The 27,254-nt window shown below is 38.8% G+C and overlaps 2 protein-coding genes and 1 pseudogene across 9 annotated transcripts in view, besides 3 other annotated features; 1 reads left to right on the forward strand and 2 right to left on the reverse strand.

Annotated features, from left to right (window-relative positions):
* Nucleotides 1-24: part of a silencer, noted in NCBI's record as "silent region_8201", that runs on past the window's edge. NCBI's record gives its function as "represses an Ori minimal core promoter by ATAC-STARR-seq in GM12878 lymphoblastoid cells {active_cell/tissue: GM12878}" and the evidence as "EXISTENCE:reporter gene assay evidence [ECO:0000049][PMID:35858748]".
* Nucleotides 1-221: part of an enhancer, noted in NCBI's record as "H3K27ac hESC enhancer chr17:10600651-10601475 (GRCh37/hg19 assembly coordinates)", that runs on past the window's edge. NCBI's record gives its function as "activates a minimal SCP1, AML or CMV promoter by ChIP-STARR-seq in naive H9 embryonic stem cells {active_cell/tissue: H9 hESC(naive)}" and the evidence as "EXISTENCE:reporter gene assay evidence [ECO:0000049][PMID:30033119]".
* The window catches only part of ADPRM (ADP-ribose/CDP-alcohol diphosphatase, manganese dependent), a 13,965-nt gene extending 344 nt beyond the window's left edge, over nt 1-13,621 (forward strand). The window contains exons 2-4 of the mRNA NM_020233.5: nt 6,973-7,590; nt 8,501-8,617; nt 12,897-13,621. Of these exons, the coding sequence (NP_064618.3) occupies nt 6,990-7,590; nt 8,501-8,617; nt 12,897-13,207 (1,029 nt within the window). The 5' untranslated portion in view covers nt 6,973-6,989 and the 3' untranslated portion in view covers nt 13,208-13,621. The remainder of the gene's footprint in view (nt 1-6,972; nt 7,591-8,500; nt 8,618-12,896) is intronic.
* Nucleotides 13,196-27,254, reverse strand: part of TMEM220 (transmembrane protein 220) — an 18,891-nt gene continuing 4,832 nt past the window's right edge. For 2 of the 7 annotated variants that reach the window (NM_001359647.2, XM_017024616.2), the window contains 4 exons: nt 27,074-27,197; nt 25,333-25,392; nt 15,189-15,330; nt 13,196-14,453 (listed from right to left, as the gene is read on the reverse strand). In NM_001359647.2, coding sequence (NP_001346576.1) covers nt 14,448-14,453; nt 15,189-15,330; nt 25,333-25,392; nt 27,074-27,197 — 332 coding nt within the window. In that variant the 3' untranslated portion in view covers nt 13,196-14,447. Of the gene's footprint in view, nt 14,454-15,188; nt 15,331-15,357; nt 17,652-22,482; nt 23,665-25,332; nt 25,393-27,073; nt 27,198-27,254 lie in introns of those variants that run through there. The other 5 variants (NM_001330139.3, NM_001004313.3, NM_001330140.3 and 2 more) reach the window with 3 other exon arrangements.
* Nucleotides 15,005-15,205: a silencer, noted in NCBI's record as "fragment chr17:10616259-10616459 (GRCh37/hg19 assembly coordinates)". NCBI's record gives its function as "represses an EF-1alpha promoter that drives an FKBP-Casp9 reporter gene in an ReSE screen in K562 erythroleukemia cells {active_cell/tissue: K562}" and the evidence as "EXISTENCE:reporter gene assay evidence [ECO:0000049][PMID:32094911]".
* On the reverse strand, nt 18,006-18,645 carry MAGOH2P (mago homolog 2, pseudogene; annotated as a pseudogene). The gene has a single exon (NR_049723.1). The product of NR_049723.1 is annotated as a mago homolog 2, pseudogene (transcript).

Genomic DNA, 27,254 nt, shown 5'->3' on the forward strand with positions numbered 1-27,254 from the left:
ACCTTGTCTGGCCGACTTTGTCAACCTCGTCCTGCCGGCCAAGAGGAAGTGCCAGAATGTTGACTCCTTTACATCTTTGAAATAGAAACCGACCCATTGCGATTGAAATAGTCTTTAACTTAAAAAAAATTGCTAATTAGGATAATTTGAGTGGTTAGGGCGGTCTGGAAGAACTTTAAATGCCCAGCGCTTCTAGTTATTTAACATTATAATGTAACCTAATTAATAAAGCATAGCAGTGTGTAAAGAAATATAGACAGCATGATATCCCATCCGTTAACTTAGTCTTCCTGGGTCCCAGTTTCTTAAAATACTCTCACGGACTCCCTTGCTCCCTACAGTTTCGTTATTTGAAGTTTGTTATGGGTTCCTCATCTGGAACTGCTTATGTTCCTTGTTAATGAGGCCAAGAGCATTCGTAGGTTTTTCGTTCTTTGTGAAAGTCTAACTTCATTTCATCTGCCTTTATTTATATCTTAATATCCGCAATATTAACCACTCCCTCCCCGCCCCTACCTCGGTGGTTGCTTTACAAAATACAGAGAAATAAAAAAAGGAAAATCGTCCTCTAATTATCTTCCTTAACTACAGATCCCGCTCCTGTGTGGCTTTTTTTTCCCCCATGGGACCGACTCTGAGTAGGAGAAACTCGTGCTCTGATGATTGTTGGACCAGAGCATGGTTGGTTTGCTTGTTTTCTATGAGTTAGCCAAACTAGCCAACTGTTCTGTTCTCTAACCCAGTAACGGAACATAGTGTTACCTGTGTTTCTTGATTCGCGGTTGGACTAGAATTTTCAGAAATTTCTGCCAAAGTTCTTAAATGTTTGTTCAGCACTTCAAGTCGTTAATCAAACTATTTTTTTCTATCTTATAGTTGCCTGTGGGTAGGATTTTTGCTCTTTTATCTTTGTGTATTTGTTTGCCCAGGGATAATTTTTTCTTGTAATTGACAAAAAGACATAAAAGTACCTTGTGTAGTCAGGCAGATAGCATACAAAATTATTGTTCATCTCTGATTGCCCAATTGTAGGTTACCTGATCAGCCACCCAAATTAAGATTGAAGTCAGTGTTTCTACCTGATCTATTAAATTTTATTTGCTAAAGTGCTTCTTTTAGTAGCAACTTCTTCATATTAATTTTATAATATTAAATAAAATGCTATCATTGAAAACAGTTCTTGGGGCCAGATGTGGTGGCTCACGCCTGTAATCCCATCACTTTGGGAGGCTGAGGTGAGTGGGTCACTGGAGCCTAGGAGTTTGAAGCTGCAGTGAGCTGTGATCGGGCCACTGCCTTCCAGTCTGGGCAACAAAGCAAGACTCTGCCTCTAAAAAATAAATAAAATAAATATAAAATATAGTTCCTGGCTCAAAGTAGGTGTTTTATAACTGCATTTTGGATGAATTGCTAGTAACACCTGAGCCTGATGGCAAGGACCCATGAAACTTTAGTGCCAGAAGGCGCCTACAGTGTTATCCCTTATAGACCTTATCACTTTTATTACTGCTGTGAAACCACCAAAGTCACCAAATGAGGTTTATGTTTTGTTTTCCAAGTTAGATATTTTTCTTTTCTTTCTTTTTTTTTTTTTTTTTTTTTTGAGACAAAGTCTCCCTCTGTCGCCCAAGCTGGAGTGTGCAGTGGTGCGATCTCAGCTCACTGCAACCTCCGCCTCCTGGGTTCAAGCGATTCTCTTGCCTCATCCTCCCGTGTAGCTGGGACTAGAGGTGCGTGCCACCAGGCCTGTCTAATTTAAAAAATATATATATTTTTAGTAGAGACAGTGTTTCACCATGTTAGCTAGGACGGTCTCGATTTCCTGACATCGTGATCTGCCCGCCTCGGCCTCCCAAAGTGCTAGGATTACAGGCTTGCGCCACCACACCCGGCCCCAATTTAGATATTTTTCTTGAGAGAAGCAGGGCATGGATTAGTATCATCTGATATTGGTTCTATCAATAGTGATCAGATTTTGTTCTTGACATAACTTTAGGCTGGTTTGACTGGGGACAGCTAGGCCCTAACTTTTGTGAACTTCCCAGCACCCTAATGTGTTTACTTCATTTTTGTTCCAGGCCCCTGCCCCTTGTGCCTAACTCCTAACCACAAACATTTCCTGCCCCAACTTAACTTTCCTTTTGGTATGGTATCTGCGTAGAAAACATATGCTGCACCCTTAGGCTAGGAGCCTCTGTTACAATAGTTTCTCCTAACAAAGTCTCTCTTTATTAATCTCTAGACTTTCCCTGCTGCCCCCTTCACCTTTGACAATAGAGTGAAGAAATCATACTCTTTTCAGGGTAGAGCTACTTCTTTTACAAGTTCATTATTGATGCTTGAAGGCTTTCCACAAGGAACTTCAGCCTTCTGCCAATCTTAAGTATTGGAAAAGTTTTATTAGTATGATCTTATAGCAACTTTTCAGTAATTAAGCATCCTTGGGTATGGGAGGCCTGAGGCAGGTGGATCACTTGAGCTCAGGAGCTTGAGACCAGCCTGGGCAACATGGCAAAACCCTATTAGTATGATCTTGTAGTAACTTTTCAGTAATTAAGCATCCTTGGGTATGGGAGGCCTGAGGCAGGTGGATCACTTGAGCTCAGGAGCTTGAGACCAGCCTGGGCAACATGGCAAAACCCTATCTCTACAAAAGAAAAAAAAAAAAAAGCCAAAAAAAGTCAGGTGTGGTGGTACATGCCTGTAGTCTTAGCTACCAGGGAGGCTGAATTAGGAGGATCACTTGAGCCCAGGAAGTCGAGGCTACAGTGAGCCATGATCGCACCACTGCACTCCAGCTTGCGCAGTAGAGCCAGACCCTGTCTCAGGAAAAAAAAAAAAAAAAAAATCTCTCATGCCTAAGGTAGTTTTCTCAAAATACTGGCTGCTTATCCTGTACTATGACATGATAGGAATTTTGAGAGCAACTCTTGTAAACTTTTCTACATTATTCTCTTCTATTAAAATGTTGCAGTAGTTTCAGTTATGAGGCTCATTAGACAGATTTTCAGATATATAATTTTAAAATTATTTTCTTAACATGCGTATAGTACTTTATGGTTTAGAGATTTACAGAGTAATAGTTTACTGTGATCATAACTCAGTTGAAGCTCACGATAACCTATTGAGGGTTATTTTGCTTCAGGAAACACGAGGACTATAATTCAGTTCTGGGTTTTTCATTTCAAAGGGTTCAGCACTTCATAATACCTCTTTAAAACTTAGACAGCGTAGCATGTAATAAATGGTGCAGGCAAACTTTGAAAACAAAGTTCACTAAAAACTTGCCATTCTCCTTTCTATTCAAAAGCGAAATATTTCCTTAGGTCTTCTAATTTTTCCAGATTTGATTTTCTCTAAAGTTTTGAATTTTCTTTTTTAAAAAAACTTTATGTATACTTTTTTTTTTTTGAGATGGAGTCTCGCTCTGTTGCCCAGGCTGGAGTGCAGTGGCGCGATCTCGGCTCACTGCAAGCTCCGCCTCCCAGGTTCACACCATTCTCCTGCCTCAGCCTCCTGAGTAGCTGGGACTACAGGCGCCTGCCACCACACCCGGCTAATTTTTGTATTTTTAGTAGAGATGGGGTTTCACCATGTTAGCCAGGATGGTCTCGATCTCCTGACCTCGTGATCCGCCCACCTTGGCCTCCCAAAGTGCTGGGATTACAGGCGTGAGCCACCACGCCTGGCCTATATGTACATTTTTAAACACACATAAAAGTAGTTAGAATAAACTTCATGCACCCATTTCTAGCTTCCACAATTATCCTGTACTCACTGATTTTTTTGTGTGTCTGTATTTGATGGAGGGAGGGAGCTATTTTGAAAACATTTCCTGACATTAGAATGCTTATTAATTCTAAGTTTCCTCACTGGAGGTGGCTTTGAGTTTTTGATCTCTCTGTTCACCAGGACCAATCTTTCTGAGCTCCCCCTACATGTCCCTGAACCAAGAAAGGAAAGGCTAAACTCGCCAGGAGAGTCAATTCCCTGACCACCTGGTTCTTTTTGCACTGCCGTACTCACTTCTGATCCTATCTTTCCCTGAATATGTTTCTGAAATCTGAAATGGCCCCAAATCAGAAATTTGAGCACCAACATGAAGCTCAAAGGAAATGTTAATTGGAGCATTTTGGATTTTGGATTTTCAGATCAGGAATGCTCAACTGTTAAGTATATTCCAAAATCTGAAAAAGTCCGAAATCTAAAACACTTCTGGTCCCAAGCATTTTGGATAAGGAGATACTAACCTTATTTTTAAAAGCCATGTATATTCAACACTTTGGATCTCTCTTTTTACCCCAGAACACATCGCTGTTTTGAAGTGTGTGCCCCTTGGTGCTTCTCTCCACATTAACTTTCCTTAAAAATTGCCAGTTCTTAGGATAGCCTTGAGTTTTTCTAAACTGAACTTGTTCCAGTGGAAGGTGTATTTGAGAGGATTTTGGTATCAAATGACAGAAAATCAATTTGATTTAGCTTTAAGCCCAGGAGAATTTATGTGCTGACATGTGTAACTAAATGACCAGTGTTCTAGCAGGGACAGGTGAATTTAGGTATTCAACTAATGTTTTCAGAAATCTCCATCTTTCCATCATTCAGAATTGTTTCTTTCTATGTTGGATTTCTTGTCAGTTCATTTTCTCCAAAAATTGAAGCCTTAGTTTATCAGCGTTTGTAGTAGTGGCAGTGCCTGTCCCAGGGCTGATGCTTATTGTGACCCAGGTTGAGTTACATGCCTACCCCTAACTGGCCAGAGGAAACTGGGTTTTTACGGGCCAGGTCTGGGCCATGTGTCTGCTATTTCACTTCCCCAGCCAGTGAATGGGGTTGGAGGTCAGACCACAAGAACTGAGAGTGGGGAATTGGATAAATGCCTAGAGAAAAATTGGGTGCTGTCACCTTAAGAACAGGAAATGAATGCTGGGTAGGCAAAAATAACAGCTGTCCACTGGAGAGAAGATCCAATTCATTGGGACTAAATCCCCTCTAGGAGATCCACAATACATATTATCACCATAAAGGCTCTGAGTTTAAAGATAAAAACAAGCTCACTTGGCAGGGGATAAGATCACCCCCAGAAATAGTTTTCTCTTAAGAGTTAATATAACTCTTAATGGTTAATATAACCTTAATGGTTAATATCACCAAGGTTAATACAACCTTGGTGATAATATTCATGTTATATACTTGCTAAGTTATCTTCTGATTTGATTCTTCTATTAATCTGAACTTGGAATCGCAAATATTTGAAACCTAACATAAGGCTAAAGATTTTTAAACTGACTTAGATGGATTTTTGTCCTGTAATTGTATTGAAGTTACCCACTTTTCAAATCAGATTACCTCTCATTTATACACCCTCATACATACTGACTTGATATCTAATGAGATTTTCAGGTAGGGGCTGCAGGAAGAAATGGGCAAATTAAAAAAAAGTATGAGAACACCATGTTTAAGGATTTCCATCTCTTTCTGGTGCTGTTACCTATTTTAGGGCTAGTTATACCCAACCAGATTAAGGAAGAAAGTAGCTGAAACTCATAATTAGGTGGATTAAAGAGTGTATCATTAGTAACAACAGTTTTAGGATGAAAAGAGGCCCCTAATTCTCAAATAAGTCAAATTGAAGTCTTATCCTTATTCCAATTGTGGAGTTGTTCTTTTCATCTCTTATAGGAGTACTCTTAGAGTTGGGATTTTACATGTCCACAGAGGATTAAGTAGGAACTCTGTAGATATATTTGTCAAATGACTAGAGATGGGGAGTCTGAAAGTAATTTTAGAAAGTCAAATGAATTTTTAGGTTTTAAATAATTCAGACACCACAGCAACAGTTTATTACTATAGTCTTTATGACAAAAATCGTTGACAATTTAGAATCTTGGCCTTTGAGTTTTGTTTGAATCATTAGCGTTCTGGGCTCTTTTAAGAGATTATAATTTACAGTTTAAACAATCGAATAATAGTTTTTTCAAGTTTAAATCTTGCTCTTTTTGGCCACTGAGGCAGGGCAGAGATCATTTGTAAGAAGAAAAGATTTCATATTTTTGGTTTTGATTGTGGGGTAGCTTAATATTCAAGTTAAAAAGAAAAAAAAATCCTGGTTCAAATTAGGATCCAGGGCTGGGTGTGGTGTCTCTTACCTGTAATCCCAGCTACTTGGGAGGCTGAGGTGGAAGGATTGCTTGAGCCCAGGAGTCCACGACCAGCCTGGGCAACATAGTGAGACCCTGTCAAAAACAAAAACAAAAACCACAAACAAAGCAAATTTTAATCCCAGCTATTGAAGAACCGGGAACCACTGCTCACAGAAATGATAATAGTCATGTCAGTTAGTTTTTGTGCTGGATTTTTGTTGTTGTTTAAAATTATTCCTCTCCTTTCATATCTGCATTGCCTCCCACTCACCTATTCAGATATAAAATATGAGAAACTGGGTGACCTACCCACCAAGGAAGAGAAAAGATTCAGCCTGACACAAAATAACCCATAACAGGAACCTTTTACAAAGTACATACAGTGAATGAATGTAATACACAGCTTTCCAAAAAAAAAAAAAAAAAAAAACTTGAAGTTTTGATAGAATTATTTGGTGTTTGTGGGACAGGGGTATATGTGTGTGCGTGTGCATGTGTGTTTAAAATGAGTATTTCTTAAAAATTAGCAATTATTCCAGATTTAAATTGGGCTTTATTAGCATTAGAATGTCTATTTATTGATAGGATAGTACCTTTTGTAAATTGTTACTCTTCTGAAAGAGTTTATCATCTGTTTTACAGAAGAGAAAGCAAGTGTTTTAGAGGGTTAGTAGTTTAGACCTAAGACTGTTGGGCTCTAAAGCCCACGTACTTTTTCCTGTACCAAGCTGCCTAATGAATTAACCTTTAACATTCCCTTTATCATTTTCTTAAGTGAAATTGGGAAATTAAAACGTTTATAATTTAGTTATCGTCTTTTTACTTTATTTAGAAACCTGTTTGGAGGTTATGGATGATAAACCCAATCCTGAAGCCCTAAGTGACAGTTCAGAGCGTCTTTTCTCCTTTGGCGTCATCGCAGATGTTCAATTTGCAGACTTAGAAGATGGCTTTAATTTCCAAGGAACCAGGCGGCGATACTACAGACATAGTCTTCTTCACTTACAGGGTGCCATTGAAGACTGGAATAATGAAAGCAGCATGCCCTGTTGTGTCCTTCAGCTTGGAGATATCATCGATGGATATAATGCACAGTATAATGCATCCAAAAAGTCCCTAGAACTTGTTATGGACATGTTCAAGAGGCTTAAAGTTCCAGTTCATCATACATGGGGAAACCATGAATTCTATAACTTCAGTAGAGAGTATTTAACACACTCTAAACTTAACACTAAGTTTCTAGAAGATCAGATTGTACATCATCCTGAGACCATGCCTTCAGAAGATTATTATGCTTATCATTTTGTACCATTCCCTAAATTCCGGTTCATTTTACTTGATGCATATGACTTGAGTGTCTTGGGCGTGGATCAGTCTTCTCCAAAATACGAGCAGTGTATGAAGATATTGAGGGAGCACAATCCAAATACGGAACTGAATAGTCCTCAAGGTGAATTATTCCTTTGAGCTGAGAATCTAATAGATTGTCTTTAAATTCTTCAGCTACCTTTTATTCAGCAGGAAGATGGACAATTAAGGTAAAAGTATATTGTCACTTGTTCAGGGTCAGGATTTCTCACAAGCCTTCTCACATGGATTGGTTACAGTTGATTCAAGATTGATTTAACAGATATTTTAAATGCCTATTTTAGGCCAGGCACTTTTTCTAGGGGTAGATATTCCGAGCTGTAAACAATACTAACAATATTACTTTTTTGATGGATGGAATGGAGGGAACAAACACAGTACGTGGGCAAGACAGATGATAAATGAAACAGAAACAAGATTATTTCCACGGTCGTAAGTGCTGCCAAGGAAATAGAGTATGATGTTATAGAGTGTTACGGAAAAGGATTAGGGTTGCTATTTTAGATTAGGTGATTAGGGAAGGTCTCTCCAAGGAGAAAGATATTTAAGCTGAGACCTAAATGACAAGGAGGAGTCTCCCTTGGAATGAATGGGCATAGGGAGTTAGCAGACTGAGGGAAAAACCTGCAAAGGCACTAAATGGAGTAAGACTTGAGCATTGTTGAAGAGCACAGGAAAGGGCCAGTGGGGTACAAGGTGATTTTAGAGTGTAAACGGGGCCAAGAATATGTAGCGGCTGAGTGGACTTAAGAAGTTTGCATTTTTAATATAATGGAAAGCCAGCGAAGTAAGCAGGGGACTGTCAAGAGTGAGATGCAGTGTGATATATATATATATATTTCTCTAAATGCTTGTGATTTCCTATTTTAAGTTGATTGTTGCTAATCAGATATTCCTAAAGAAAAAACAAGTGTCCCTACATTAACTAAATTTGAATGTCCAAATGAGGGGAAAAATGACTTGATGGGGCTAACTTACTGAATTCATTTCAGGACTTTCTGAGCCCCAGTTTGTCCAGTTTAATGGAGGATTCAGCCAAGAACAGCTAAACTGGTTGAATGAAGTGCTAACATTCTCTGACACAAACCAAGAAAAGGTGGTGATTGTGAGTAAGTATTTAATTTATCTGATTACACTAACATTTTAGAGATTGGGAAAAGTTAGGCGTTAAAGCATACTAACAATATTTGTGTTTCGATATCCTCTTTCTATAAAATGGACACTTAGTTTAAAAATTTCTATTGAGAAACCACCTGAATATAAGATTAACATTTAAGGATGAACCAGGAAAAGGTAAATAACAGAAACATCTTGCCATATATTGGAGCCTGTGAGTTGGCCTTTTAGGTTCAAAGTCGAATTTCCTCAAATGAGATCAGTTTATGAAGTAATTTCTTTTTTAAACATTAATATTATTATTGAAATCATTGTAGATTCACGTGCATTTGTAAGAAATAATTCAGAGCAATCACTTATATGCTTTGCTGTTTCCCCCAACATTAACATTTTGTAAAACTTTAGTATAATATCACAAGCAGAATATTGACATTAATACAAAAATAAAAACTCCAGAAGTTTGGCTTTTTCTAAGTTTCTTTTGTTTTTTGTTTTTTGAACCTTCTCTCCATAAGAGAAGCAAGAACCCAAAGGTGAGATGACTTCACCATGATAACTAAGACATAAAAATTACCAAGAAACTTGACTCAAAATTAAGAACAAGCTGAATTCAGCCTGGCCAACATGGTGAAACCCTCTCTCTACTAAAAATACAAAAAAGAAATTAGCAGGGCATGGTGGTGCGTGCCTGTAGTTCCAGCCACTTGGGAGGCTGAGGCAGGAGAGTTGCGTGAACCGGGAGGTGGAGGTTGCAGTGAGCCAAGGTTGTGCCACTGCACTCCAGCCTGGGTGACAAAGCAAGACCCTATCTCAAAAATAAATAAATAAATACATAAATAAATAAAACCAAGCACAAACAAAAAACACCAAGCTGAATTCTAAAGTGTGGAATCCAGGTTGCAATCAGCTTATAAAGGAGCTTGACACCACACTAAACAATTTGTTAGTGGAAGTCATTACCAGGGCTTGGATCCTTTCCTCAAGGTAGGGAAGCCCTGAGTTTCATAAACTCTAATGAAGTAATTTCTAAGTGAGAAATTCAGTTAGGGGACCATACCAAATCTCAGCCTTAGAGACCTGCCTATCAGCAAAGTGGCCACCAAACAGAGGCCACTGCTGCCCAGATGCAGCAAAACTGGTATCACAGGGCATGTGTGCTACAGGCTCGGCTGGCACTGAGCACTGTGCAAGCTGTGCCTCCCACACAGTCACAAGGAAGTTAGATTTGTATTTTCATATAGAATCATTTTTGATGGGTACACTGCCATCAGAGATTGTAGGAATCCAGGGGTGCTTAAAACATACAAGCGTGTATGTGCGCATGGGCACGTGAAAACATACACGGAACTGAATTTGGGTTTGCAGCATGGCTGGGAGACTTGGTTTGGAGGTTGAGATTAGAACCCTTGGTTTAGAGTTAGAATTGATGTGGGATAACAGGTGAGAAGGCTAGACTGAGAGCTGGAAGGACAGGATGCCATTCTGGCTCTGGTTTATATGAACTGTGTAGTCCTGGGCAAATAGCAAACCTACAAACTGCAGTGTTCTCAGTAGTGTATCTAATGAAATTATGAATATGAAACCCCTGGCCAAGCACGGTGACTCACGCCCGTAATCCCAGCACTTTGGAAGGCTGAGGTGGGCAGATCATGAGGTCAGGAGTTCGAGACCAGCCTAGCCAACATGGTGAAACCCCGTCTCTACTAAAAATACAAAAATTAGCCGGGCGTGGTGGCAGGCGCCTGTAATCCCAGCTACTCGGGAGGCTGAGGCAGGAGAATCACCTGAAACCAGAAGGCAGAGGTTGCAGTGAGCCAAGATCACCCCACTGCACTCCAGCCTGGGCAACAAGAGTGAAACTCCGTCTCAAAAAAAAAAAAAAAAAAAAACCTTTGAAAATGATAGGCTATTCAGATAGTTGATTATATAAAACTATATTTCTATCTGTAAAGGTAGTTTTTACTTACTAATCTTCCACTGATGTGGTAAAAACACGTAGAAGGAGCAGAAGTGTTTCTGCTAACACTGGAATACCAGGTGTCATTCAAGGGTTGGAAGAGATGAGTGCCCTTGGGTTGTTGGAATGATGTGACACCTTTTGGCTCTATAATAAGTGGTCTCAGAAACTAGGATACTTCTTGACTTGTGTCTGCTTTTAAGTTTTCCACTCTCAGCCTGTTCTGGAGCTGAAAGGAAGCTAGAGTCATATAGCCAAACCTTTGAATTTTAAAGATAAGGAAACTGAAGCCCAAAGAGACTGAATTGCATAGCAGAATCATGGAGCTGCTGACAGCACTGAGACTAGAATCCATGCTTTATGTCTCCATCCCCTTTCCCATGTGATCCTGTGTTCTTCCCTTTTCTTTTTACTCATGGCGGTACACCTATCTAATTTAGCAGTCTCTTACATTTCTTCTACCATTTGATGTAAGCCTAGAAACTGGAAAAGCAAACTTTTAAAAACGGAATGATTGAAGTTTTCTTTAGTAAAGTTTAAAAGTTAAAGTGTAATAAAAAAATTTTCTTTTGCTTTTTAACTTTCATTATGGCTACTCCAAGGTCATCCTATACCTTTTGAATTTTGGCCGTGCAGTTGGAAGGATAGAATTGCCATTAGCTGAGATAGGGGACACTGCAGGATGAGAAGTGCGAGTGGAGAGGGTAGGGCTTCAGGTTTGGAAATAGAAGTTTCAGATGCCTACTAGACATCAGTGGAGATGTTGAGTGGGCAGTTTGGACATTAGAAGTCTGAAATTCAGAATAGAGATTTGGGCTAGATAATAAACGTGGAAGTTGAAAGAGTGTAGATGACATTTAAGGCATGTAAATCACTAAGAGATCACCAGTGCATTCAGTATAAATAGAGAAGTCCGAGGACCAAGCATTCAGGCACTCCTGGTAAGACGTTGGGGAAATGAGGGGGAACCAGCATAGGAGACTGGAAATTAGTGGCCATTGAAGTTGGGGAAAAACTAGAAAGACACCCCTGGGAGAAACAGTGGTGTCCTGGAATCCAAGTGTTTCAGGGAGAAGGGAACAACTAATGGCGTCAAATGCTGCAGGGACTTGATAGATGAGTCAATATGGCTTCGAGGTGCTGGAAAGCAGCACACGCCTTTGGACGCTTAGCCCTAAGGTGGTAATCAGCACATGTATGCACTTTAAAAAAAAAATTGTATTACAAACAGATATTAAATAGAAGCATGTTTAAATTTTGGAATAAAAATGAACGGTAATAGACAAAAAGTGATTTAATGGGAAGATGCAACGTGAGCTGTACTTCAGAGTGAGAACCGTGGCTTGATCATAGATGTGTTGCTGTCAGAAATTAGAACTTCTCCTAACTCTACTTCCACGTATCTCCTGTGGATGCCAGTATAAATCTTCCCTGTTTTAACTCAGTTTTTCATCTGAAAAGTGGGTATGGCTACCTTGATCTCATGAGTGTTTAAAGTCCCATAAATCAGTTCGGAGGCATTGTTTATGTCAATGACACATAATCCATGGCCCATGCCTAAACTGTTTGTTTATTTATTTATATTTACATTTTTATTTTTTGAGATGGAGTCTCGCTTTGTCACCCAGGCTGAAGTGTGGTGGTGTGATCTTGGCTCACTGCAACCTCCACCTCCCGGGTTCAAGCAGTTCTTCTGCCTCAGCCTCCCGAGTAGCTGGAACTACAGGCACATACCACCACGCCTGGCTAATTTTTGTATTTTTAGTAGAGACAGGGTTTCACCATGTTGTCCAGGCTGGTCTTGAACTCCTGACCTCAGGTGATCCGGCTGCCTTGGCCTCCCAAAGTGTTGGGATTACAGGCATGAGCCACCACACCCAGCCTGTTCTTTTATTTAGTGTTACATCATTCTGTGTATATAACATTCATATTTAAGGAAATCAATTGGATTGGATTCCAGCACAGCATCTGCCCAGTTTCAGGCTGCCTTTGCAGACTGCCCTGCATAGGACACCCTTGATCTTCCTCGGTGTTTCGGCAACTTGAGATGACGTAGGCCTCAGAGATTCAGGGTTTTGCCTCTACAGCAGCCTGTCGCGCCTCATGTGAACTGTCTTACCCTTCTTCTATGCTCCAGAGATGTGGCTGTAGATGGCCTAGTTTTCTTGTGTGTGAATTCTCTCTGGTCTCAGTTCATTTGCATAATGAGATAGCAATTTTTTTTTCTTTTTCTGAGTACTAGCTTTTAGCCATTTATTTTTATAGAAGAGATATTTCTTAATTGGCTCATAACTCTTCTTTTCTTTAACTAACAGGCCATCTTCCCATTTACCCGGACGCCTCTGACAATGTGTGCCTGGCCTGGAACTACAGAGATGCCCTGGCAGTCATTTGGTCTCATGAGTGTGTGGTGTGTTTCTTTGCTGGTCACACCCATGATGGTGGCTACTCTGAGGATCCTTTTGGTGTATACCACGTCAACCTAGAAGGAGTTATTGAAACAGCTCCAGACAGCCAAGCCTTTGGCACAGTTCATGTCTATCCTGACAAAATGATGTTGAAAGGGAGAGGCAGAGTTCCAGATAGAATTATGAATTACAAGAAAGAAAGAGCCTTCCATTGTTAGTCTAATTTATTTTAACTTGATAGAAAATGAGCTTTGTGTTTGTCCCTCCTAAACAAAAAAATAAAAATCCTCTGTCTCATTGTTTAGTATTCAGCTTGCATAACAAAATGTATTTATAGTTTCAGTGTGTGATGGTTGATAAAATACTCAGAAATGTTATTTTGGATCATGTATCCATTGTAAGTTAGAAACAAACCAGGGAGGAAACTGAGGCAGGGGTGTATAGTCCTCATAAGGGGCATATAGTCCTCATGAGGGATCTTATTTGGCCCTACCTGATTTTTTTTAACTTTTTACAAGGAGATTGTATTCACATGTGTTAACTATGTAACTTCAAGTTCAGCATATAAGCTCAGGTAAGCTTTTTCTATTCACCCTGCTGTGTAAATGAGCTTTGGACAATTTCTGCTCAGAACACCTATACTTGGATTTTTATAGGCTTGTATTCCCATTTTGTAAACAAAATTACCAATAGTTATTTCACGGGTAAGCGTGTGGCACTCCCATCCCTGTAAGAAGGGCCTCCAGAAAAGTCATGTAGTCCTCTTGGGATTCATAGGACCAAGTGGCAGTGCAGCCATGTGCCACCTGGCCTGGTCTGTTTGGGCCACCAGCCATTGCTGTGTGAAGCTACAGCAGGTAAATAAATTTACACTGACTCCCTTTATACACTAATGGGACATGTTTAACACCGTTTTCATATATGCTAAGGCTTATGTGTAGAAACATTAGATGGCAAATGGGGACTATTCAGGTGTGGAGAAAGTTTGATTCAGGGCCTAAACAACTATAAGAAATAAGCATGCCTGTTGAATACATGGGCACTATAGGGATATAAAGGAGTGTTAGCTTTCTATGGCTGCTGTAACAAATTCCCACAAACCTGGCGACTTAAACCAACATATACTTGTTCTCTTGCAGTTCTGGAGGTCAGAAGTCTGAAATCATTTCCACTTGGCTGAAACCAAGGTGTTGGCATGGCCATGCTCCCTGAGGAGGGTCTAGGACGAATCCTTTTCCAGCCTCCAGAGCTGTACTTCTTGCATTCTGTGGCTCATGGCCCCTTCTTCTGTCTTCAAAGCCAGCAGTGTAGCATCTTCAAATCTTTCTTTACTGTCGTATCATATTCTCTGCTGTCTGTAGTCAGATCTACTTCAGCCTTCGTCTTGCAAGGACACTTGTGGTAACATTCAGGGCCCAACCAGATAATCCAGGTAACCCCCATCTCAGGGTGGGTTAATCACATCTGCAAAATTTATTTTGTGATATAAGGTAACATATATCCAGGGATTAGGACATGTATCTCTCTGAGGGCCACTGTTCAGCTGACCACAGAGGTGACTATAATGTACTCTTGCACTCATAGACCTTACCATGAATTAGACAGACATCCATGATTCAAGTGTGTGAAATTTGCTGTCACACAAAGAAAGGACTGAGGGAACATGGAGGATGAATTTAATTTTGTTCGAAGGGATTGGGGATGACATGCAAAATGAAGAAAAATGGCTTGAATAAGTGGGGAAGAGTATATCAAGTAAAATAGCAAAAGCAGAGGCATTGAAGGATATGCCAAAGTCAGACATGGCAAGTCATGCTGTGACGATTCACCAGAAAGGTGCCGGGCTGGGAGAAGGGGGATGTGGCAAGAAATATGGCAGAAAAGGACAGGCTGGGGCCATATTATGGAGAGCCTTGAATGATGAGCCAAGAGTTAGAATTTAACTTGCCAGATAGTGTGGAGCCCTTAGGGCTTTCTGAGCTGGGGAATACGTGATTAGATTTGTGTGAAATAGAGAAAAATGGAAGAAAAATGTGAAGGTGTGAAAGATTTTAATAATAGAGGCTGGGTATGGTGGCTCATGCCTATAATCCCAGCACTTTGGGAGGCCGAGGTGGGTGGATCACCTTAGGTCAGGAGTTCCAGACCAGCCTGGCCAACATGGTGAAACCCCGTCTCTACTAAAAATACAAAAATTACCTGGGCATGGTGGCAGGTGCCTGTAGTTCCAGCTACTTGGGAGGCTAAGGCAGGAGAATCACTTGAACCCAGGAGGTGGAGATTGTAGTGAACTGAGATCGCGCCATTGCACTCCAGCCTGGGGGACAGAGCAAGACTCCATCTCAAAAAAAAAAAAAAAAGATTTTAATAATAGAAATATTAAATTTAATAATAATACTTAAATTCAATTTCATTAATACTCTTCAAAAGACTATTCCACCAAAAGTGCCTTTTATATGCTTAACTGAAGATGCGAAAGAGACTATGAATAGTCACATAATTTCGTAGTCTGATATGGGAGAGGCATACATGATGAAAGCACATCTTGAACATTACTGTCTTTAAGCACAGAAGTAAACATGACTTGGTCAATGGATAGAGCCCACAGGGAATTTGCAAATGAGTCTGTTTTTTTTTTGCATGTGACTTCAGTAGTTTATTAATACTAAAGGAGTTATAAAAGCCACAAATATGTAAGCAAAATATACACTGGAAAACTCAAATCCTTTATGTGTATTTTACTGACCCTTAAGTTTCACTTTGACTGTTTTAATATCAACTAGATTTGTTTTCCCCCTTTTTACTCATTCAAGTCTTAATCTTAGATAATTTCTCACCATTCAGTGGCCACTGTGCCAATAACAAAAACAAAATACACATACCTCCTTTAACAAATATTTATAGAATATTTACTATAGTAATAAAGACAATAAAAATAGACAAACTACCAGACTCATTTACACTCTCCTAACCTGTGGAAGGCACTACTCGTTCTTTTTGAGTGAAGTATTTCCCAGATCTCTTTCCTAGATCAGAAAAAACAGTATCTGACCACAGAGTTTGATGCTTGTGTATGTAAAATGTTGCCATCTAGATACTTAAATACAGGACTGTCCAACAGAAATGCAATGTAAGCCACGTAAATAAAAGTAAACAGAAACAGATAAAATCAACTTTAATAGTATATTTAACCCATTATAGCCAAAATATTGTTTCAACATGTAATCAATACAAAAAATATTTTCTGTTCTTTTTCTACCATGTCTTTAAAATCCAGTGTATTTTACATTTATAGCCCCACTCATTTGGACACTAAATTTTCATTGGAAATACTTTATCTGTATTTAGGTATCATAAAATTTGCAATTGGAAAATTAGATTCAAATACCCAAGTTGTTCCAAACACAATTGTAAGTTTTCCAATAATCAAGTATCCATTTTTAAATGAAAATGGAAATGAAAAAAAAAAAAGCTCTCCTCCCTAGGATTACTTTGGACATCCATTTATAAAGAATGTATATAGATTTTGACCTTATTTCTCATTTAGAATGTAGTTATAGTCCCTATTGCCTTCTTGTTTGGTCCCTAATTCCTTTATTCTATCCAGCTTCCCTTTCTTTCCAAGACATGCCTGCTCATTTGATTCATCTAGAGTTCTCCTTTAGTTCACTGCACTATGCCAGCTCTGGATAAGATTAGTTTAGGGCTGGACTGGGCATGGTGGCTCACACCTGTAATCCCAGCACTTTGGGAGGCCAAGGTGGACAGATCGCTTGAACTCAGGAATTCAAGACCAGCCTGGACAACACGGTGAAACCCTGCCTCTACAAAAAATTTAAAAAAATTTAGCCGGGCATGGTGGTGCACACTTGTAGTCGTAGCTTCTTGGGAGGCTGAGGTAGGAGGATCACCTGAGCCCCGGGAGGTCAGGACTGCAGTGAGCCATGATCATGCCACTGCACTCCAGCCTGGGCAATAGAGTGGGACTGTCTTAAAAAAAAAAAAAGATCGGGGTATAGCCCTCTCTTGAATGTCTATTTCAGTATATTACCCAATCCCTGCTCCCCTCTATTTTAATCATGGGCAGCCCTCCGTAATCTTTCCAAACACTTTATATCTTCAGAGTGTTCTTACATTATCTAGATTGATCCTTGTTACTGTGTAAGTAAGTAGATCTGGCATTAATCCTATTTTATAGATAAATATCCACCAGGAGGTTTATATATTTGCCCAAATTACATAGTTACAAAGTTAAGTTAGAACTCGTATTTTTAAACTTCTATTCTCTAGCCTTTTCCACTACATTATGACACAAGACCCTGCAGAAAGTCGTCTGGAAAATATCAGACCATCTCTTACTTGTCCCATCCAATCTTACATCGAATTATATGCACCCTTAAAAAGTTATTTGGAGTTTTAAAACTATTAGCCCAAATTACCTGAAATAAACTCCTGGCTTGTTCCCCTAATGTTTATAAAAAATTGATTGAAAATATTCATTTTAAAAACGAAGTTCTTGAATTTATTTAAATTACTGTCTTGCAGTGAGTTGGCCAAGAGGACCGCATTTCCTTGTTAATATATATGTAGACCCATGAGATAAATGGGAAAAGTGTGATTACAATGGCAATAGCCAATTGAATTCTTCCACCAACTGGATTCCTATAAAGACACAAAAATTATTATAAATAAAAATCATGGATTGCTTTGGAAACAAGTATAAAGACTGAATTGATAAAACACATAATTACATTTTAGTATGTTCTCATCTCAGTTGTTTTATTGAAATATAACATTGATTTATAGAAATTATTTATATATATGCTAAATATAAATCCTTGTTTATATGTGTTACAAATACCTTGTCCCATTTGATGTCTTTTGAGGAAGAGAAGTCATTGATTAATTTGACAATGTTAAAGTTGATCTTTTCCTAATGATTTTTGTGCTGTTTAAGAATTTCCCTCACCAAGGTTTTGAAGGTATTCTCTAGAAGTTTTGTTTTGCTTTTTTTAAATTTTATCACATATTTATTAAAGATAATCATTTATAGTTTATAAAAATATACTGCCCTGACACAAAATGTTCTTGATAATGGTAATTAAAAACTACTCCCACCCCCCCATGTCCACATCAATATTCAGTTTAGATTGGTTTAATCTTGAAGTGTAATCCAGTAAGACTGAAGACCAAACACTTCAGGGTCCTGGACAGGATAATAAAATACTCATAAGCCTTCTGGATCCTTGGATTGACTGACATCAATAAGGGAACCAATTTTTGATGTTGTAAAAGAAATGTGTTCATCTCCAATAATGATTTCAAGCTCCTGCCGGCCCTCTCGGTTGGGAGGAGGCCATAACGCATCATCCTCTTTGGTAATTTCACTGTCATCAATTATACTCTTCAGTTCCTCCATCATACTTTTATGTACATAAGCCTCTTTTCTGATCATGACATCATTCTTGTAATTGCTGTGTTGGCTTATCTTAATTTCCCGTCCGGTCAGAACTCAAACTCCAGAAACTCGTGGCTGAACTTGCCCTTGTGCCCCACGTAGTAGCGCAGATAAAAGTCACTCTTCATGGCTTGCAAAAGACAACTGAGACTGAACTTCTAAAAGAAAGCTGCACCACCGCGGTCTGCACCCAACACTCTGTTTTGCTTTTTTATAATAGACCTGTGATCCCCTTGGAATTGATTTTTATGAAAGTTGGAAAGTAGGGGTTGTTTCACTTTTTTCCAAATGGACATTGAATTTATCCTAGCCTATTTATTGAAAAGACTGCCTTCTCAGCTACCCTGAAGTACCATCTTTGCCATAAGTCAAAACCCTACATATGTATAGATCCGTTTCTAAATTCTATTGTTCTATCATTTTATTTATTCATCCTTTTGTCATTATATGTTTAGCCCTCCAATTATTTAGGTCTTCTTCAATTTCTCCCATAATGTGTTATAGTTTTATGTGTAGAGATTTTGCATATCTCTGCTAGATTTATTCCTACGGAGTGGATTTTTTGAATGTTTTTATAAATGTTAACTTTTTGTTTTATCACTTTCTGTTACTTCCTGACAGAAAAGCAGTTAACTCTTGTATCCTGATCCAGTGATCATACAAAATTCACTTATTCTAGTAATTTTTTAGATTCTTTTTTATTTTCTACACATGTATTCATATCACCCACAAATCATGAAAATTTTATTTCTTCTTGTCCAATCATTGGGCATTTTATTTCTTTCTCTTGCCTTATTTTACCGGCTGGGACAATAGCTGGGACAATAGCTAGCATGGCATTGAGTACAAGTGGCAATATGGCCAGCCTCATCTCATTCCTGATCTCAGAGGGAAAGTTTTCAACTGTTCACCATTAAGTCTCAGGCTTCAGTGTAGATATCTTCTATCAGGTTAAGTTCCCTCCTACGCCCATTTTCTAAGAGCTTTTAACATAAATGGATGCTGAATTTTATGAAATGCTATTTCTGTATGGCTCTAGAAGATAGTTTATTCTCTTATTTCATTCCATTAATGTGGTGGAAAACATTGGTTGGTTTTTGTAATGTGAAACTAACTTTGCATTCCTAGAATAAACCCAACTTGGTAGTTGGGTTATATATTGCAGGATTTGATTTGCTAATGTGTTGTTTAGGAGTTTTCCATCTGTGGTCATGAGTGAGACTGCCATGTAATTTCATTTTTTTGTCATGTTCTTGTCAAGTTTTGGTTACCTGTCCTCATAAAATTAGTTGGAAAGTGTTTCTTCTTTTTCTGTTCTCTGGAAGTATTTATTGAAAGTTGGTATTATTTTTTTCCTTAAATATTATGTAGACATCTCCAGCTATGCCATCTAGGTCTAGAGTTTTCCTTTAGGAAAAATTTAAATTATGAACTCGATTTTTTTTTTTCTTTGAGACGGAGTTTCTTTCATTCTTGTCACCCAGGCTGGAGTACAGTGTGATGTCGGCTCATCGCAACCTCTGCCTCCAGGGTTCAAGCGATTCTCCTGCCTCAGCCTCCCGAGTAGCCAGGATTACAGGTGCCCGCCACCATGCCCAGCTAATTTTTTGTATTTTTAGTAGAGATGGGGTTTCACCATGTTAGCCAGGGTGGTCTTGAACTCCTGACCTCAGGTGATCCGCCCACCTCAGCCTCCCAAACTGCTGGGATTACAGGTGTGAGCCACGGCGCCCGGCCCTATGAACTCAATTTCTTTAATAGTTATGGGACTGTTCTGAGTATTTATTCTTATGTAAATGTTGGTAAACTGTATTTTTTCAAGAAATTTGTCTAATTTGTATTTTCAAATTTATTGGTGTAAAGTTCTTCATCATATCCACTTATGATTTTTACAATAGTTATTATAGTAGTATTCTCTTTTTTATTCCTGATATTTGTTATTTGTACTTCCTTGTGCTCTTTTTTCCTTTTTGTCTTGTCAGGGCTTATCAATGTTATAAATCATTTTAGAGAATCAATATTTGACCTTGTTAATTCTCTATTTTTATGTTGATTTTTTATTTCACTGACTTCTGCTTTTATGTTTATTTTCTTGTTTCTTTGGGGTTTAACTTGCTGTTCTTTTCCTAACTTCTTGAAATGAAAAATTCCTAACTTCCTGGAAGCTTAAAAAAAAAATGTACTTATGTCTATATGTTTCCCTCTAAGCATGATTTTTAGCTGCATCTCACACATTTTGATATGTAGTATTCACCTTATTCAGTTCAAAATATTTTCTAATTTCCATTGTGATTTCTTCTTTGACCCAAGTGTTATTTGAAAGTATATTTCCTAACTTCCAAATACACAGGAATTGCCTAATTATCTTTTTGTTAATGATTTCTAGCTTAACTGCACCGTGGTCAAATAACATACTCTGTAGGATTTCAGTCCTTTAAAATTTGTTAGTACTTATTTCATGGCCAAACATATAGTCTTTTTGTAAAATACTCAATGTGCACTTGAAAAGAATGTGTATCCTGCCATTCTTGGTTTATTGTGTGGTTAAAATCTTTTATATTGTTATTTTTCTTTTTTGTGTTTGTTTGTTAGTAACTGAGAGAGGTGTGTTAGTCTCCCAAGATGATTGTGGCTTTTTCCATTTTTCTTCTTAGCTCTGTCAATTTTTGTTCTATTTGGAAGCTATGTTATTAGGTCCATACAAATTTAGCAGTTATATCTTCTTGATGAATTGAATCTTTTGTCATTAAAAAGTGTCTTCCTTTGGCATCTTGAATCTACTTTCTAATAAGTGGTGTTGAGATAACCAGATAGCCACATAGAAAAATATGAAATTGGACATGTTCTTCATAACATTACACCAGGATAAATTCTATCTATCTATTTATTTATTTATTCATTTATTTATTTGAGACGGAGTCTCTCTCTGTCTCCCAGGCTGGAGTGCAGTGGCGCGATCTCGGCTCACTGCAACCTCCACCTCCCGGTTTCTCCTGCCTCAGCCTCCCAAGTAGCTGGGACTACAGGCACCCGCCACCATGCCCGGCTAATTTTTGTATTTTTAGTAGAGACAGGATTGCACCATTTGGCCAGGCTGGTCTCGAACTCCTGGACTTGTGATCTGCCCGCCTCAGCCTCCCAAAGTGCTGGGATTATAGGTGTGAGCCACCGCATCCGGCCTACATCAGGATAAATTCTAAACAGATCAAATATTTAAATGTACAAATGGAACCATACAGGTATTAGAAGAAAACTTGGGTAAGTTACATTACAACCTGAGAGAGAGAAGGTTTTCCTAACTATGACTCCAAATCCAGAAGCAATAAGGAAAAGGACTGATAAATACAATTACATGAAAAAACAACAACAAAAGACTTTTTCATGGCAAAGTATACTTTGCATAAGCAAAGTTAAAGGAAAATAACAAACTGCAAAGAAATACTTTCAGCTTACATCACAGATAGAGCTTCTAAAAATAGAGAAGACCAGCAACCTTAGAATCAGGTTAAACCTACATTGCTCAGAGATAGACCAAGATTTTTATAGAAAAAGAAATATAAATGGCTCTGAACCATATGAAAATGTGCTCACTTTTGCTCTTAATAAGAGAAATGCAAGCTAAAACTACCCCTTTCTCAACGATCCGATTAGTAAAAATTCAAGATTTTGATAACATACTCTGCTGGCAAGGCTATGGGGAAACAGACACTGTTAGCCATGGCTGGTTGGGATGCAAAATGGAAGAGCCATCTGGAGGGGAATTCGGGAGTATATAGAAATATGAACTATGCAATTACACTTTGACCCAGTAGTCTCACTTCCAGGAATTTATCTCAAAGACACACTGGTAAAAATATGTTAGATATATGCATATGGCTATTAACTGCAGCACTATTTTTAATAGCAAAAGCCTGGATACTATCTAAATAGTAGAGAACTGGTTGATTAAGCTATGGAGCCATCAGCAGAGTAAGAAAAGTTTTTCTATACTATAGAATGATCTCCAGGATGTAGTAACTGGAAAAGCAAGTGGAATACAACTGTGTACAATACACTGCCAGTTACCTTAGATAAGCAGGAATACAACTAAGTCACACATTTGCTCCACTGAAAAATCATGGAAGGATAAACTATAAAACTGAAAAAATTTTCCCCCATAGGGAAAGGGAAGCTATAGGGTCAGGGGGCTGGAGAAGCCGAATTTCTTTTAATATATCTTATTTTATAGATTTGACTTTTGAGCCATGTAGATATTTTACATAATTATAAAATAATATCAATATATTTTCAATACAATTAGCCCTAGAAATAAATGAATCTAACTGTGTATTTACTTGGTGGGATTAGCATACAGAACACTATGCCCAGTAATTTGAGTGTACATCCCTTAGTAGGTTATATCCTAATAACAAAAACAAACAAGAGAACCTGTTTTCAGTAGTCATATTATCATTTGGAGATTGCATTTGTATTGTAGAATAAATCAAATGGGTGATTATGTTGAGGTCACTGAGACTAGAAATTTTGCCATGATTAAAAGGAGATCCAGATATAAAATGTTCAATAAGGTTAATAAGAACTGGTACCTCTGAATTTGAGTAGTTAGTATAAACTCATAAGACATCTTAACTTTAAATGTATATGTGTACGTGTATATATTTATGTATGCATATACATTTATGACATATATATGAATTCACGAACATTGCAAACACTGTTGATTCCAGGTCTGTGGCCTAAAACATGATCCTGGGTATAACATGCGCCTGGAACATCTTGTCATACCAGAAAGCAAGGAAGCTATCAAAGGTTTACTAGGGTCATGTCAGAAAGAATTCAGGAGCAGACCTGAATAAGTGCCACTGGACAAAAATGGGACAGTCTGAGCATCAATAAAGACAATAACTGTCACGGACTGAAACACATTAAATATGTTTAAACTGGCCGGGTGCAGTGGCTCACGCCTGTAATCCCAGCACTTTGGGAGGCTGAGGCAGGCAGATCACTTGAGGTCAGGAGTTTGAGACCATCCTGGCCAACATGGTGAAACCCCGTCTCTACTAAAAACACAAAAATTGGATGTGGTGGCACCTGCCTGTAATCCCAACTACTTGGGAGGCTGACGCAGGAGAATTGCTTGAACCCGGGAGGCAGAGGTTGTAGTAAGCCAAGATCGCGCCACTGCACACCAGCCTGAGCAACAGAGCAAGACTCTGTCTCAAAAAAAAAAAAAAAGAAAAAAAGAAAAAAAAGAAAAAAAAAATAGTTTGGCAGTGTGGCGTGGATAAGGTTCAGATAAAACAAGATTGGACATACCAATAATTGTTGAAACTGGGTGATGAGTATATCTGATTCAAGATATTAGTCTCTCTGCTTTTATATATGTTTGAAAATTCAAAATAAAAAGTTAAAACAAAAAATTAAAAATATTCACAAAAAGTTGTTTTTCTCCAATAATTGTCTTACATTCTACTTTGTTGTTAAAATTGCAATATTGTATTTCATTTGGCTGGTGTTTGTAGTTTTTTTTCATCTTTTGACTTTAAATCTTTCTATATCAGTACAGTTAAGGGTTGTCTTTTTAAGCAGTGTAGAGCTGGGTTTTTCTTTCTTTTTTTTTTTTTTTGAGATGCAGTCCTGCTCTATCGCGCAGGCTGGAGTGCAACAGCACTACCTCAGCTCACTGCAACCTCCGACTCCCGGGTTCAAGCGATTCTCTTGCCTCAGCCTCCCAAGTAGCTGGGATTACAGGTGACCAACACCACGCCTGGCTAATTTTTTTGTATTTTTAGTAGAGACGGGGTTTCGCCATGTTGGCCAGGCTGGTCTCGAACTCCTGACCTCAGTTGATCCGCCTGCCTCGGCCTCCCAAAGTGCTGAGATTACAGGTGTGAGCCACCTCGCCTGGCCTAGAGTTGGGTTTTTAATCTTTTTACATACTTTGAGATTCTTTGACTCTTAACTGAAATCTTTACCTTTACATTTAATGTAATTTCTGATATATTTGGGTTTAAATCTATATCTTAACACATGCTTCCTATTTGTCCTATTGTTTCTGTTTCCCCTTCCCCTTCTCCTGCCTTCTGTACTCATTTTAATGCTACCAGTGGTTACCCTAATGATTACAACATTAATCCTTGACTTATCAAAGTTTAATATAAATGGATACTTTTATCTCTTCTCACACAATTAAAGGACCTTAGAATGCTTAAACTCCATTTACTCTTTTCCAGCTTTTATGCCACTGTTGTCATGTATTTCTATCCTGTATATGTTTAATTAGTTAACATTCATCGATATGTACACACGCACTTATATTGTCTTTGCTCTTCATTCTTTCGTGAATCTCTAAGTTTCCTCCTGAGATCATTTCCCTTCACCCTGAAGAACACCCTTTAGGCTGACAACTGCCCATGACTATACTGGGCCTTGTAGAAAACTACGGTTTTTGTGGACAAGAGTGACCAGGATACTTTAAATCAACTATTATTAACTTCCCTTAAGAAAAGGGAAGATTTCTTTCAAAAGATTCCTGTTTTTACTTGTATGGCAGTATTTTCACTTACTACCTGATTTTGTCAGCCTCGAAGATGTGATTTCTTTTTTTTTTTTTTTTGAGAGAGTGTTGCTCTGTCGCCCAGGCTGGAGTGCAGTGGCACAGTCTTGGCTCACTGCAACCTCTGTCTCCCGGGTTCAAGCGATTCCCCTGCCTCAGCCTCCCAAGTAGCTGGGACTACAGGCGCGTGCCACCACACAGGGCTAATTTTCTGTATTTTAGTAGAGACAGGGTTTGACCATATTGGCCAGGATGGTCTTGATCTCCTGACCTCGTGATCTGCCCGCCTCGGCCTCCCAAAGTGAAGATGTGATGAGTTGAATACTTACTTTGAGGAACTGTGGCACAGGATAATCCATGCTGTAATAATCACCAGACCAGACAGCTCCCTATAAAAGGGTGTACATTTCAGATTTTGGAAGTGGCTACAAGTGAGATGCATATCATCACATTCTCTCCATGACCACCTGATAGCGCATTCTGATTGAGTGACTGACTCTCCCTCAAGATCTATGGCATCGATGGAATATTTTCAAATCTGACCATGATTCATAAATTACTTTTTTCAGAGAATTTAAAGCCTCATATGAAAATACATTTCATCTTAAAAGGCAGGTATGAGATCCCTGACTATGCCCTGATTTATAAGTGGATCCCCCCAAAATGAAATGAATATTTTATAAAATCCACAGATACATCACTTTTTTCAGGTCGCTAGAAGAAACAGTGCAACTAAGAAAATCCCAGATTTGATCAGTCAATACTTTTACATTTTTAAAGAGGCTTCAGTGTGAGGCAGAATGAGCCCAAACCAATACATGATCTGTGTATATACTACAAGAGATTGGGTCACTTCCTAGGGGAGAGGAATGATTTGTAGTACAAATCAGACTAATAATTTGGGGGTGGGTATATGCTTCTATAAATATGTATTATATGCACATATCTTTTACATAGAATAAAAAACAATCACTTCAGCCATAATACCACTAGAAGCCCCAGGCTGAGTTCACTATAACCCATGGGCTTCATGCTGGAAGTGATTCAACCCATTTGGTCTACATTCTTATCTACAGACCCAACCTATAGTTTGGCTCTCCAGTGTTCTAAAGATTGGGGGTTATAACAAAGAAACACCTTTTCAGTGATGTTTAACTTACAGGTCTATGAATTTTGTTGTTGGCAGATGGCAGTAGGAGTAGAAAAGAAACAAAAGGACCTATTAATAAGTCCTCAGAGACAAGGGTGGGAGGAAGCAAAGGAAGAGGTGATAAAATAGGAGCAAGTGGTCATGACAAGGAAATGACACAAGACATACCAGGGCAAGTCTAACAGGTTGACTTAAAGTACTGATCTTTTGGCTGGGTGCGGTGGCTCATGCCTGTAATCCCAGCACTTTGAGAGGCCAAGGAAGGCGGATCACGAGGTCAGGAGTTCAAGACCAGGCTGACCAACGTGATAAAACTCTGTATCTACTAAAAATACAAAAATTAGCTGGCCGTGGTGGCACGCACCTGTAATCCCAGCTACTCAGGAGGCTGAGGCAGAAGAATAGCTTGAACCTGGGAGACGGAAGTTGTAGTGAGCAGAGATCGCGCCACTGCACTCCAGCCTGGGTGACAGAGCAAGACTCCGTTTCAAAAAAAAAAAAAAAAGGACTGACCTCTGAGATGGCTGCTCATACTTGTAGATAAGATTCTGGCTTAAACCAGAACTGAATTTGAGGCTGACAGAGTTATCACCATATTAGATCGGACTGAGTATTACTGTATCATACCGTTGCTAGTTACAAGGGGGCCAAAGTCCAACGGCCTGACAGTAATATAATGTAATATGTAGTGACTGCCACTAGCAGTGATAATGAAGCCTGATAGATGGGGCTGGGTTTGAATCCTGGCTCCATTATTTCCTCAGTTTCATCAGGTTATAAAGAAGATAATACCTTGCCTCCTCCACAGGGTACACTGGGGGAATTCAGTTATCATTGTGCACAGATGAGGTGTTGCAAACACGATTCCTTAGTTCTATCCCACAGTTCTATCCCTCCACAGGGTAACCGTCACCGCTCACCTGCCTTCTTCCTCATGTAAGATGTTCTGTTGTGTACGATGCAAGAGGTAGGACGCCAAGCCAACAGCCCACACCGTACAAAAGAGTATGTGTATTGCAGAGATACTTTTCCAAATAACATTACCTAAAAATAGATGTTCTGATGTTGTTAACCACGGAATCACAGCCCACAGAAAAAAAA

This window comes from Homo sapiens, chromosome 17, assembly GCF_000001405.40.
Source record: "Homo sapiens chromosome 17, GRCh38.p14 Primary Assembly".
In the NCBI taxonomy this organism is placed as follows: domain Eukaryota; kingdom Metazoa; phylum Chordata; class Mammalia; order Primates; family Hominidae; genus Homo; species Homo sapiens.